The sequence below is a fragment of the Homo sapiens genome, chromosome 4 (genome assembly GCF_000001405.40).
Source record: "Homo sapiens chromosome 4, GRCh38.p14 Primary Assembly".
Classification (NCBI taxonomy): Eukaryota; Metazoa; Chordata; class Mammalia; order Primates; family Hominidae; genus Homo; species Homo sapiens.
The window spans coordinates 59392201-59407845 of NC_000004.12; positions in this window are offsets into that span (position 1 = coordinate 59392201).

Consider the following 15645-nt stretch of genomic DNA (forward strand, 5'->3'; position numbering starts at 1 on the left):
TACTGTCTTTTGTTTTGTTAAATAAATATTTTCTAACATATTGTTTTACCACTGTCATTTCTTATACAGTATGTTTCTGCATTTTCTTCTCAGAGATTATTTATATTATTAAAATCTTTTCCGAATTAATAGCAACTAAATTTCAACAGTACAAAAACAACTTTATTCCAATAAAACTCAATTACTGCTCGTCTCCTTTGTGGTTTTATTTTAATATATATTACATATTTATGCACTGTCTTCTCATAAACACATTTCTAATGATTATTCACACAACTGTCTTTTAAATCAGAAGTAGAAAAAATTACAGATAACAGTTATTTAGTTATCCTTTGTATCTATAGTTACATTTATAAGTGTATTTATTCAAGTTATTGGGAAATATCGTGTAGAATCCTTTTGTAGTAGGTTTAACAATTGCTAATTTCCTCAGTTATTGTTTATCTGAATATATAAACTTCTCGCCAATTTTTAAAGAATCATTTTACTGGATATAGAATTCTTGGCTTACAGAATTTCTTCTTTATTTCCACATTTTTAATATATCACCCAAATTTCTCTAGCTTCTCTAATTTGTGGTGAGAAATCAACTGTTAATTTTATGGAGAATTCTGTAAGTGTACTGTGTCATGTCTTTTTTCATGCTTTCAATATTCTCCCTATGTCCTATCATTGGAGAGATTGATTATAATGTGTCTAGGTGTGAATCTCTTTGGGTTTATCCAACCACTAGTACGTTGAGCTTTTTATATATGCAGAATAATATTTTTCACCAGATTTTGGACATTTTTAGTGATTTTTTGAGGAATATCTTTGTGATGTTCTCCCTATTTCCTGAATTTGTATGTTGGCCTCTCTTGCTAGGTTGCGGAAGTTCTCCTGGATAATATACTGAAGTGTGTTTTCCAACTTGGTTCCATTCTCCCCATCACTTTCAGGTACACCAATCAAACGTATGTTTGGTCTTTTCACATAGTCCCATATTTCCTGGAGGCTTTGTTCATTCCTTTTCATTTTTTTTTTCTCTAATCTTGTCTTTATACTTTATTACATTAAGGTGATCTTTAATTTCTAGTATTCTTTCTTCTACTTGATTGATTCAGCTATTGATACCTGTGTATGCTTCAGGTAGTTCTCGTACTGTGTTTTTCAGCTCCATCAGGTCATTTATGTTCTTCTTTAAACTTGTTATTCTAGTTAGCAGTTCCTGTAAACTTATTTCAATGCTCTTAGCTTTCTTGCATTGTGTTAGGACATGCTCCTTTAGCTGGGAGAAGTTTGTTATTACCCACTTTCTGAAGCCTGCTTCTGTCAGTTTGTCAAACTCATTCTCCATCCAGTTTTGTTCCCTTGCTGGGGATAGAGTTGTAATGCTTTGGAGGAGAAGAGGCATTCCGGGTTTTGGAATGTTCAGCCTTTTTGCGCTGGTTTTTCTTCATCTTCACGGATTTTTCTACCTTTGGTTTTTGATGTTGGGGATCTTCGGATGGAGTTTTCGGGTGGTTGTCCTTTTTGTTTATGTTGGTGCTATAGCTTTCTGTTTGTTAGTTTTCTTTCTAACAGTAAGGCCCATCTTCTACAGGTCTGCTGGGGTTTGCTGGAGATCAACTACAGAACCTGTTTGCCTGGTTATCACCAGTGGAGCCTGCAGAACAGTGAAGATTGCTGCCTGCTCCTTCCTTTGGATTCTTCCTCCCAGAGGGGCACTTGCCAGATGCCAGCTGGAGCTCTCCTATAGGAGGTGTCTTTCAACCCCTGCTTAGAGGTGTCTCCCTGTCAGGAGGCACGGGGGTCAGGGACCCACTTGAGGAGGTAGTCTGTCCCTTAGCACAGCTCGAGCTGGGAGATCCGCTGCTGGGAGATCCGCTGCTCTTTTTAGAGCCAGCAGGCAGGAACGTTTAAGTCTGCTGAAGCTGCACCCACAGCCACCCCATTCCCTAGGAGCTCTGTCCCTGGGAGATGGGAGTTTTATCTAAAAGCCCCTGAGTGGGGCAGCTGCCTTTCTTTCAGAGATTCCCTGCCCAGAGAGGAGAAATCTAGAGGGGCTTGCTGAGCTGCCATGGGCTCTGCCCAGTCCGAACTTCCCAGAGGCTTTTTTCACACTGTGAGGGGGAAACCACCTACAAGTCCCAGTAATGGCGGATGCCCCTCCCCCTACCAAGCTTGAGCATCCCAGATCAACTTCAGACTGCTGTGCTGGCAGCGACAATTTCAAGCCAGTGGATTTTAGCTTGCTGTCTCCGTGGGGTTGGGATCCGCTGAGCAAGATCACTAAACTCCCTGGATTCAGCCCCCTTTCCAGGGGAATGTATGGTTCTGTCTCACTGGCATTCCAGATGCCACTGAGGTACGAAAAAAAACTCTTCAAGCTAGCGCAGTATCTGCCCAAACAGCTGCCCCATTTTGTGCTTGAAACCCAGGGCCCTGGTGGTGTAGGCACCTGAGGGAATCTCCTGGTCGGCGGGTTGCACAGATCATTGCTGAGGTATAGTATCTGGGCCGAATAGCACAATCTCCCATGGCATGGTCCCTCAGGGCTTCCCTTGGCTAGGGAAGAGAGTTCCCTGACCCCTTGCACTTCCCTGGTGAGGCGACGCCCAACCTGCTTCTGCTGGCCCTCTGTGGGCTGTATCCACTGTCTAACCAGTCCCAACGAGATGAACCGTGTACCACAGTTGAAAATGCAGAAATCACCCAGCTTGTGCGTTGGTCTTGCTGGGAGCTGCAGACAGGAGCTGTTGCTATTCAGCCATCTTGCCCCTATTGTAGATTTCAACCACAGAATTTCATTCTGGTTCTTTTTTATAATGTCTGTATCTCATGGTATTTTCTAATTGGTAAAGCATCATTCTCATAGGTTCCCTTAGATTTTTAGACAAAGTTCCCTTCTCTTCTTTGGACATAATCAAGGTGACTGATTTAAATCCTTGTCTATTAAGTTCAACATCCGGGCTTCTTCAGAGACAGTTTCTATTTACTCCTTCTTTCTGTGTATTAGACATTTTTTTTTATATAATTTGTGATCTTCTATGAAAAGTAAGATTCAGTAATTTTCCTTGAATAAATAATCCTTGAATTGCTGTAAGCCTTTGGTTAATTCCCAGATATCTGAAAAAGTTTATTGATTCTAACAAGTGTTTCCAGTGTTTTTGTTGCCTTTACAGATAACAAGAATTTGTCAGTCCTTTACTTTGCTATATTTACTGATAGTATTTCCAAAATATTATTATAATTGAGCTTAAATAATTTAGACAGGTTATATAAATGCAATGATCACTTTACTTACCCATATTAATACCTGACCTGCTTGTGAAGATTTTAACTGTATAAACATTGTGTCTATTTATGAATGCACAATTTCTAGGTCAAAATGTGGAATTTATTTTTCTTTTTGAGATGGAGTCTTGCTCTGTTGCCCAGGCTGGAGTGCAATGGGGCACGATCTCGGCTCACTGCCAACCTCTTCCTCCCAGGTTCAAGCAATTCTCCTGCCTCTGCCTCCCGAGTAGCTGGGACTACAGGTGTGCACCACCATGCCTGGCTAATTTTTGTAAAATGTGGAATTATTAACCTGTTAATTTATTATCCAAAATACTATGAAAATGCCCACCTAATCATATACCTACTCAAATATAATTTTATATTGTTTTACATCTTTGTTAATTTGAAAATTTTTAAATGCTTGCATGCTTGGTTAAATTTGTATTTATAACAAGGAAGATTAAATTTTTATGTATTAATATTGATTGTGTTTCTTCTTGTATCGTTTGACCATATACTTTGCCCTTTTTCCCTGCAGTCCTATTTTTTGTTTATTATAGTTGGATTATATCAGATTACAAGTAGCAAATTCCCTATACATACCAAGGATTTATTGAATGACTGCATGAGAAATGTTTAAGAAACTTTATAATTTTTGAAACCTTGAATTTTGAACAATGTTCAAGGTATTATAGAGGCTCTAGTTATACAAAAAGCAGATCTGATGCCTCAATAGTATCTGTAGTAGATTCATCTACTCATGACCTAATGCTTTCATTATTTAGCACTTTATCCATATTTTATCTTCCTATCCTGTTCTTTACTTACTCTCTCGGCCCTTTTCTAATACAAGTCTTCTGCTTTCTCGTGGATTCTAGTGTTGTTTCTATTTGATATTTTTATCATTTTGTGTTCTCTGCAACTGCCCATTTATTTCATTTAATTGTTACTCAAACTCACCAAAGCTTATTTTGTAAGACTACAACTCACTGAATTAATTTTGTCTATTACAAAAAGATTTTATGCATGTCCATCTCATATAAGTTGTTGACTATTATAAATAGCTGCATATGGTAAGATGTCCATTATAAATACTGCATATGGTAATATGTCCATAAACAGGTGTTTTTTTACACCACTATGGTATGGTGAAGTTAAGTTGCAAAAGAAAAAAATAAAATAAAATAAAATAAACTTTCAAATGTGAGTAATAAGCCAAATTGATGAACTGAGATTTTTCATAAAACTTCATCTTTCACAGCATATCTGATATTAATATTTTATTTTCATGAGAACTTACAAAAGAACACACTTAAATTAATAATCTTGTATACTTCACTTATATTATTCTGGTGAATAACAAATTACCACAAGCTCACTTTTCTTTTATATTACATACTACTATTTCATACTTTTTTTCTCTTTGGAGAAGTATAATATTTAATCTGTATATTTTCTATTGACGTGTGTTCAAATTCACTAAGTATATCTGCTTCCAGTAAAGTCTCTGTACATTTGATTGCCGCTTCTATCTCAGTAGTATCTTTCCTTTATTATTTCTTTAATTTTTACTAACACTTTATTAGTTAGTGTGGCGGTGGAAATTGTAAGGGGAAGTATCTGTTGTTTTGAGTATGCACCAGACTTAGATATTTACCTTGTTCCTGTTTACTTTTAACTTACCTAAATCAGGCTTTTGTAACCATCAACACTCTCCCAAACTGCACATAACAAATACTTTCATTTGCAAAATCTAGTAGTGAAGTTCAAATCCTGCTTAAAATATCAGCTGCACCAAACATAACATAATACTCTCTTACAAGATGCGTTCTATGCTTGGTTTCCAAGACTTTACATTTGCATCTTTGTTTTATTTTTTTCCTGGTTGCTTTTTCTCAGTCTCCTTTGGAGGGTGGTTTTCATCTGTAAATTCTATTAACACTAGCGTGTCCGAGAATTCTGCTCTTGATCTCTCAACCTTTAAATCTGTAGAAATTGCATAAATTCCTTAAGTTATTCCTTAAATTATGTCAGTTAATAACTTATAAGCATGTATGTACTGATAATCCCTAAATTTATATTTCTAAGTCAGGCATCTGTCTTGGAATCTAGACTTACATATTCAACTGACTACTTGATATTTTTCAATGAGTGTCTAGTATGCTTCTAAAATTTAATTTTCTACTATACTTAAAAACACACAACAGTGTAGGTAAAACATACAACAGTGTCTGATAAAGTTATTTTATCCTCCAGTAAGCTCCAACTATGTCTGCTCTTCCTGCATCCTGCTCTATGGCAATTTCCTCATTCATTTTAAATATATATGTATATATTCTATTACATATTCTAGTATATATTCTAATATACATATAAAACTTTCTTTTTTCTTTCAGTAACAAATATATTTCAATTAGTTCTGTTGGACTTGAAAGCAGAATACATTAACTTTTCACTATTTCTATTGCTACCATTCTGTTCAAAGTCATCAATATATTGGTCATAATTTTTCTATTGGCTTCTCATTGTCTTCCTGATTCCACCCTTAATCTTCCTTAGTCTATTGTCATGAAAGCAGTTATACTGATTTTATTAAAATGTAAGCTAGATCATATTGCTGTCATGCTCACAACTCTTTAGTTGCTCTCTTTCTTACTGAGAAAAGCAAATTAAAGTTATTGTTATCCTCTAGCTCCTGCATACTTTAGTTTCCATTGTTTATCTGACCTCATCTTCTGCTACTCTATTCTTTCACATTATTCCATGGAGAGTTGCCTCCTCCTAATTTCTGCAACCATACTTGCTCCGTCTTCAGAGCCTTTGTACTTGATACTCTCAAATATCAACAGTGCTTAATCTCTTTCTTAAATACTTTAACTCAAAGATTATTTTCTCAAAAAAAGCTTTTATGGTCAGCCAGCAAAAATTTCAGCCTCTACTTGATGATATCATGTATCCATATGAAATCTCAAGTGTTTCTGTTTGCCAGTTGCTATGCTCAGATTTTCTATTTACCTTATTTGGTAATCATTGCATCATTAGAAAACTGGATGAGTGTAGGAATTTGTTTATCTAGTTTATTGCTGTTTCTCTAGCACATAAAACAGAGGCTGATCTATAATTGAAATCCAATAAATATTTTATACGAATTAGTGTATTTTACTCTATGACCCAATATGGCATTGTCAATTTTTTACAATTAGGGTCTCCTTCATAACCATAACAAATGTCTTTCTACTTAGTTGTTTATGGTGGGCACTTTTCCCTTCCTCTTTGTGTTGCTGTAGAAATCAGGCATGATGTGTGCTCTTCCACCACAGTGAAAGTTAAGAGTGGCAGACTCTACTTCTTGCAAGGGGCAAGCCTAAATATAGAAGGAATAATTTTAATTTTGAGAGGGTTATTAAATAATATATTGTGATCATAATTATATGTAAGCCAAATCCTCCAGTCCTCCTTTATCAATTCTAAAGCTATTACTTTTATCAATACTTGTTCTATACTTTTGTCTCTCAATAAGTCTAGAATTTTCAAGTGGAAGATCAGCGCTTAATGTTGACACTTGAAGTTTAAAATCCATTGACAAATACTGGAAACAGATATGGACTGGCATTTCCTGAGCAAAATAGCATGTCGTACACCACCAAGTATACAGCTTTGATTTTTAGTGCTCTTGTAAATTTGACTTTTGTTGTATTTGTACCTCAGTAGTTTTTTGAGATTTATATTGAGAGTGAATTTTTATTACTGTAGATGTAATCTGTGGGGTACAAACAACATTCTTTGTAAGACCCTCTGACTTAACCAGAACTTACTGTAGATATATGTCCTTTCAATAAACAATTATGGTTGAGACAAAGATTATCAATAAGGAAAAAAACATGTTATTACTTAGTAAAATTCACCTCAAAATATGAAGGAATTGTATATACAAGATTTCTAGGAAGCAATAGAAGAGAAAAAAATTTTTGTTTTTATTTTTAATTTTTTGATGCCTTCTTTCCCTCATCCATATCTTTAGTATGTGATTTTAACCTGCAAAGGCAGTTAAATTCCATGAGCCTACACAGCATTCAGTTGTGTGTTTTGTGCTGTGCAAAGGTAAGCAGTGTTAGAATAACTGTTTGAAATTCTGTTCCAATATATGATATTTTAATCCATAATTAGGGAAAAACGGTGGAAGTATTAATTATTGGAATCATGTGCTTGTCTTTAACACACTAAATCCCACTTGCAACCATTATGGCATCAGAAAATCAGAGTGACTTCTCCATTAGAAAGGTCATTAAATTTCTTTATTCAGTCATTAAAATGAATGATGTATCATATTATAAAAAGTATATGCTGTCCTTATGAGTTAAGATTGAAAAATCAAATAAATTGTTTTAAGTGCAAAATTTAAGTCAGCGCTATAAATTAAAAGCTAATGTTCCTTTTTTAGAAATAAATTTTGCCCATAAAATCAACCATATTGGTTTATAAAAATACATTTCTCTCTTAATATTGAAGTAGGAGTAATCAAAATGTTCTTTATTTCTCAATTTGTCCTTAAAGGAGAGCTTTATATGTTACCCTTCTTAAACATTATCACTAGTTAACATACCTTCTTCAGAGACGAAGCTTCATAGATAATTGGATTTTGTCTTGTAAAATAAATGGAAGATAAATGTTACCTATCGTCTTTTATCTCTGAACCTTCCTAACTAGTTGAACATTCCCTGGCTTGATTTTGATGCAAACAAGCCCAACTTCTATTTCTTCTTAATCTCCAGGGTTATAAGGAATGTTGTCCTTTTCTGATATTTTCTAAGGTGTAAGTTATTAGCAAACCTAGTCAGCCGTGATATGTTATTCAGTGATTAGAAAAGCAAACCCATTACAGTGTTAAACTATTTTGGTGGCTGAGACTGGTTTACTTGAATGTCAGTTTCAAGTTTTGCAAAACTTTAAAAAGGTCCTGATTAAAGAAAAAAAAAAAGCTTCACTAAGTTAGTAAATAGATCATCATGTTTTCTAACAAGCAGAGATTTGGTTTAAGATTCTTATCAGTTTGTTCTCTGGAAGACCGCACAAATCTGAACCCATAAGTGACTATGCAGTAGTGACAGATAAGGAAAATGTAGGAAACTCCGAGATAACCAACCTAAAAGCCCTTGATTAATTACATCTGTGTTCCCACTCTACTTGTATTCTCTACGATAGCTGCTAAAGCTAATAAATTTCTTCTTGCTTTAGGTGTAAGAGAACTAAGACGTTGTTTTCTTTCTGGGAAATTTCAATAGTAAAATTCTATGAGTCGGAGGGAAGCAGCAAGGCCTTAAATAGACTGCTTAGGTCATCATCCAAAACAGTGTCAAAAACCCATATTTTCATGTAATACTTCTAAATGTAAACTACATTACTTCAGATTACCTTTCAAATAATAAAGTTTTTCTGTTCTAAATATAATCATTCTTTTCTCTAATGCACATTATTAAGGAATCATTGTTTGTAAAGTTTTACAGTCTACAGAGTCACTTCATATCCCTATTCTACAGGGGAAAAATTGCATTATAAAACAAGTCATGGGCCTTCAGTTTTCTTTTGTTTTACTTTCCAAGCAGTTCCACAACATATTGTATCTACGTTCACATAGAACTTACAATTTTTTCCCGTTATTTATAATAGTATGACAGGTTTTCATGTATTATAGCTCTGTGGAGGTGTTATGTTTTCTTCTAGCCAAAGTCATTTGCTTGATTCAATACTGATGAACTTAAAAACGTCTATTGTGTATTGGTGTTTCTCAATAGGAGAGGGTTTGGCATTTTAAGTGAGACAATTCTTTATATAGAAATATCCCTTTTGTTGTAAAAGGACTATTTTTCCAAACACTTACCCTGACATTTTATTAGCATACCTGTGTAATTAAAACATCTAAAATAGGTTTCCATTTTTTTTCTATATGACCTTCAGGAGAATGATGCCATCATTGCTTGAAATCACTGCATCTGAAAAGGCTTTTGTTAACGTTCAACATCAATTCATGTTAAAAACTCTCAATAAACAAGGTAGTGAAGAAACATACCTGAAAATAATGAGTCATGTATGACAAACCCACAGCCAACATCATACTGAATGGAAAAAAGCTAGAAACATTCCCTTTGAAAACCAGCACAAGACCAGGATGCCCTCTCTCACCACTCTTATTCAAAATAGTATTAGAAGTCCTTGCCAGGACAGTCCAAAGAGAAAGAGAGGAAGTCAAATTATCTCTATTTGTAGATGACATAATTCTATAGAAAACCCCATACTCTTGGTGCAAGAGTCCCTCCAGCTGATAAACTTCAGCAAACTTGCAGGATATAAAATCAATGTGCAAAAATTACTACAATTCCTATACACCAACAATAGCCAAACCAAGGACCAAATCAGGAAGGCAATCCCATTCACAATTTTCACAAAAAGAATAAAATACCTAAGAATACAGCTAACCAGGGAGGTGAAATATTTCTACTATGAGAATTACAAATCACTGCTGAAAGAAATCAGAGATTACACACACACAAAAAAATGGAAAAACATTTTATGATCATGGATAGGAAGAATCAATACTGTGAAAACGGCCAGACTGCCCAAAGCAATTTATAGACTCAATGCTATTCCCATTAAATTACCATTAAGATTCTTCACAGAACTAGAAAAAACAGTTTTAAAATTCATACAGCCCAAACAGCCAAGGCAATCAACAAAAGCAAAAATTGACCAATGAAATCTAATTAAAGAACAAAATAAACTATCAGCAAGAGTAAGCAGATAATCTACAGAATGGGAGAAAATTTTTGCAAACTATGCATCTGATAAAGGTTTAATATCCAGAGTCTACAAAGAACTTAAACAAATTTATAAGAAAAAACAAATAACCCTGTCAAAAAACAAGCAAAAGACATGAACAGATATTTCTCAAAAGACATACATGCAGCCAATAATCATAATAATCATATAAAAAAGCTCAACATCACTAATCATTAGAGAAATCCAAATCAAGACCACAATGAGATACCATCTCACACCAGTCAGAATGGCTGTTTTAAAAAATCAAAAAATATCAGATTCTGCTGAGGTTGTGGAAAAAAAAGACATTTACACACTATTACTGGGAGTGTAAAGTAGTTCAACCATTGTAGAAGACAGTGTGGCAATTTCTCAAAGACCTAAAGACAGAAATACCATTCGTCCCAGCAATCTCATTACTGGGTCTCTAGTCAAAGAAATACAAATAATTCTATTTTTAAAAACACACACATGAATATGTTCATTGCATCACTATTCCCAATAGCAAGTACATGGAATCAACCTAAATGCCCATCAATGGTAGACAAGATGAAAAAATAATGTGGTACATATGCACCATGGAATACTATGCCACCTTTAAAAAAAACAGATAATATCCTTTGCAGAGACATGGATGGGGCTAGAAGCCATTATTCTCAGCAAACTAAAGCAGGGACGAAAAATAAATACTGCATGTTCTCACTTACAAGTTAGAGATAAACAATGAGAACACATGGATGCCTAGAAGGGAACAACACACACTGAGGCTACCAGAGGGTGGAGGGTGGGGGAAAGGAGAGGATCAGGAAAAATAATTAATGGGTACTGGGCTTAATAGGATGATAAAATAATCTGTACAACCAACCCCATGACACAAATTGTCTATGTAATAAGCCTGCACATGTACCCCTGAATTTAAAATAAAAGTTAAAAAAGAAAGAAAGAAACCACTGCATCTAAGCACAAACGAAATTACAAGACCAAGCCCTCTTCCTACACATGCTTCAAAATCCATATATTGCTAACAGATCCTAGAGATAATATTTGCAATAAAATATTATAAAAGTAACTACTATATTTTGCAACACACAAATATGCTGTCTGCTTGGATTTGTACTCTTCTTACTCAAATTTGAAAATCTTGCTTCGAACTGGAAACCTATGAAATAACAGGTAAAAACCAAAGTTGCTTTTCCATGAGAATCCACTTACAAGGAAATAATGTCACTAAAATTAAGAGGAAGAATTTCTGAGACATGTGAGGGAATATTGACAAGTAAATTTGACAAATTAAACTTTTAGATAAATTTTTTTTTATTCTAAAACATAATCATAAAAATGTGGGTACATGAGGGCTAAGTTGAAATGCAGAATTTTGTTGTGTTTGGTTTGGTTTTATTCCTTTAGCAAAATAAATCTTAATAATCTTCTTTCTTTTCTCTCTTATAAATGCTGGGTTATTTGAGAAATTACTATTTTTTTTTCTTCTTTTATACTATTAACGTTTTGGCAAATCAGTTTGGGATACAAATAGGTTGAAAGAGAATTAAAATAATTGACAAAACCATTTATTCAAAATTCCACATAATTTATTAGTATTAATTAGAATCATTTTTATTATGTAAAACAGTGAAATTAGTATTAGTAAAAGAACATACAACTTGACTTTATCATAAACATATCATTAGCTTTAGACACCCGAATGCATCTTTGATTAAGCAGAAAATCTATAGACTTTTGATTCCTCAGGAAAATAATGGGTTTATATTTTACAATGTTTCAGAATAGTATTGTCTTATCTATGGGAGCATGTAAGAAGTCTTTTTTTTTTTTTTTTTTTTTCAAGACGGAGTCTCACTGTCTTCAGGCTGGAGTGCAATGGTGTGATCTTGGCTCACTGCAACCTCTGCCTCCTGGGTTCAAGCGATTCTCCTGCCTCAGCCTCCTGAGTAGCTGGGACTACAGGCACCTGCTACCACGCCCGGCTAATTTTTATATTTTTAGTAAAGACGGGGTTTCACCATGTTGGCCAGAATGGTCTTGAACTCCTGACTTCAGGTGATCCTCACGCCTCGGCCTCCCAAAGTGCTGGGATTACGGGTATAAGAAGTCTTAAAAGAAGACTTCTAAATTATTAATCAAAAAGAATATGAGGCATCTTCATATATTTTTTTTTTGACAGACTCTTGCTCTGTCGCCCACGCTGTAGGGCAGTGGTGGAATCTCGGCTCACTGCAACCTCCGCCTCCGGGGTTCAAGAGATTCTTCCGCCTCAGCCACGGGAGTAGCTGGGGTTACAGGCGTGCACTATCACACGAGGCTAATGTTTAGCAGAGTCAGGGTTTCACCATGTTGGCCAGGCTGATCTGCCACTCCTGGCCTCAAGTGATTTGTCGGCCTCAGCCTCCCAAAGTGCTGAGATTACAGCAGGTGTGAGCCATCTGCCTGGCCTAACTTCATTATTTTATCTAAAATTTATTGAACACCTTCTATATCCAAGGCATTATCTAACACTTTTAAAAATCTATTTTTATTATTATTTCTATCATCTGTCTAAAAGTTTCTTATTTAACCTTAAGAACAACAATTGAAGGTATCAATTATTTCTCTATTCACAGAGCAGAAAATTGAGGTATAGAAAAACAAATAACTTTTCAAATATCAGAAAAATAGTACGCTTCCAAGCTAATACTTCTGTGTAGATTTGTATGGTTTTAAGTATTTTTAAGCAATATATTATTAAATTTAAGCATACAGTTGACACAATAAATACATTATTGAGGGCCTTGGGTTCTAGGAAACGGATTGGCATTAGTTATCTGTCAGTTGTTTTGTATAGACAATCATGAAAAGTTTTGCTTCTCTACTTTCTTATTTTTGTGATCTTCTTTATACAATATCAGAATTTCCTGAATCATTGAAATGGAAGAAAAGAGAAGATTTATTCTTACTTAATAAATTAATTTCTAATGATTCTCATTACAATTTATGTACGCTTATTGTATGTAACTTGGGCAGCTTTTTGAAAGTGTAAGTTGAAAATCACTTAATGTCATTGAGTTATTATCCCTGTATTTATATTGCTAAACACACTTCCAGAAAAGAGGTTACAAAACCACACACCTCTGCACACCTCTGGCAAGGTATGTAGAGTATGTGGAACACCCTCTCTCTATTTTTTTTTTTTTGAGACGGAGTCTCACTCTGTCGCCCAGGCTGGAGTGCAGTGGCACCATCTAGGCTCACTGCAAGCTCCGCCTCCCGGATTTACGCCATTCCCCTACATCAGGGTCCCCAGTAACTGGGACTACAGGCGCCCACCACCTCGCCCTGCTGATTTTTTAGTAGAGACGGGGTTTCACCGTATTAGCCAGGATTGTCTTGATCTCCTGACCTCGTGATCTGCCCCCCTTGGCTTCCCAAAGAGCTGAGATTACAGGCGTGAGCCACCGCGCCCGGCCCCTTTTTTTAATAAATAATTTTCACAACATCACACGAAATTAGAAGTGTTTGATATTGCATTACAGTGAACTATAATAAATATATTGTAATTTTTAAGGCATGTGAGTAAAAATTTTTGAGGTTGTCCTTTTGTAAAACATATCCAGAACTCGATCATTTCAAACACTGTTGGAATTCATGCTAAGATTTTATTGAATTGAAATCTTTGTGTTGTAAAATAAAAACTTTTTTTCAAAGATTACCAAACATGAGAAGTTAAAGGTTTCACTAACTAAAGACATTCTAAATTAAAGAATCCCTGTGTCACTGTAATGAAACCATTTTAAACATTTTGAATTTTTTAGAGATATTAGAAATAATCAAGTTTCAAAAGCCAAAAAAAATTATGCAAATATATATATCAGTCTATCTGCCCAATTATGAGTCATTTGTATGCAAGAATAAATATTTTTCAAGAATCTTTTACAAATCTTTCATGTAACATTTTTGGAAAAGCATTGTGTTATACTTTCAGAGTATTAGTATTTTGTACTTTAATTTGTCCAAACATGAATTTAAGAATGAAGACCATAAAATTACAAAATTATCATCAATTTTACTTAGTAATTTTTTAATGTAACTGAAATATTATAAAACTATAAATTATTTCATATAATGATTTTGATGCTCATTAACTTATTTATATTTTCTTTTGGATTAAAAGTATACTTGACTTTATTTGATATTAATGAATATTTATAAATACAAATGTACCTAATTGAACTACTTTAAGTCCTTAATCCTTTTTTCCCAGGTCTTAGCCTGACAAATAGTTATGTACATGAAATAACTCTAGGATCTTTGTCATCCTAGTTAAATTTGCATTCAGCAAACAACGTTTGGGCCTATACAAAGACGTAGAATATGAAAGCTATTATGAGAAAAATAGAAAACACTATTTTATAGTAAACAGATTCATCAAAGCCTCCAAGATAAAGTAATATAATAGACCATAATATATATTTATTTATAAAATTATATTATAAATAGCATATCTAATATATAATTTATATAATGTAACATTTATATTAAAATTACATAATAAAATTATTTTAATTATGTTTTTCAAATTTTGATTACAAATAATATATTTGCTTCTGTAACCAAACATATTTTTCAGATTTATTTTTATATACATGCTTATCAGATTGGTTTCTTATGACTAAGAAAAATAAGAAATTTGGCTAGAATTATTAACTTTAAATTAAAAATAAAACATCACTTACAAATAGTTTCAAAATTCTTTTAAATAATGTTATTTTTCCTAGTAAGTAGCACCTAAATATTACTGGCTAAAATTATTATCAAAAATAAAATATAGCTCATAAGCAGATTGATTTTTAATACCTTGTTACTTTTGTCAACGTTCCTAGTAGAATAAATTGTACAAAAATTAGAATACAATTTGAAAAAATATGAAAAGCGATGTAACATACATCTAATTAGGCAATAGTTTAAGAGCTATTGCTAGAAGCTATGAGTTAATATACAATGTCTTATTTCAGTTTCATATTTTTTTATGTAACTTAGACTAGTATTGATCAAAAACATACTTATAGATCAGTGTTGCTGTAAATTTATTTCTTACAAAGGTTGGTTAATGAAAATAATTAAATTTGAATAGAGATAGGAAATCAGAAAAAGTATTATAATCAATGATAAATTTCCTGATTTTGATAATTTTATTTTGGTCGTTTTAAAAAAGGAGGTTTTTGTTCTTAAGAAATGCTAACTGAAATATTTAGGTACAAATAAACAAAAATTTATAATTTTGCTATCAAATTTCTTAAAAGCAGAATGTTTGACAGAGCAAACCATTTGGAATAAAAAGCAAACAGTGTTTGGATCTGGGAAAAGGGTTCAGAGCAGTTTCTTGTAGTATACTATGTAGTAGTGTATTTATAGATTTTTCTTTATGTTTGAAATAATGTCTCCCAAAAACGTTTAAAAATCTAGTCAGAGATGAAGAGAAACACAAATACTACTAATATCACAGATTCAGAAGTCAAAGATTTATTTGCAAAAAACAGGTGAAGACTTTTGAAGAAGTGTTAACAATATAATTGACAT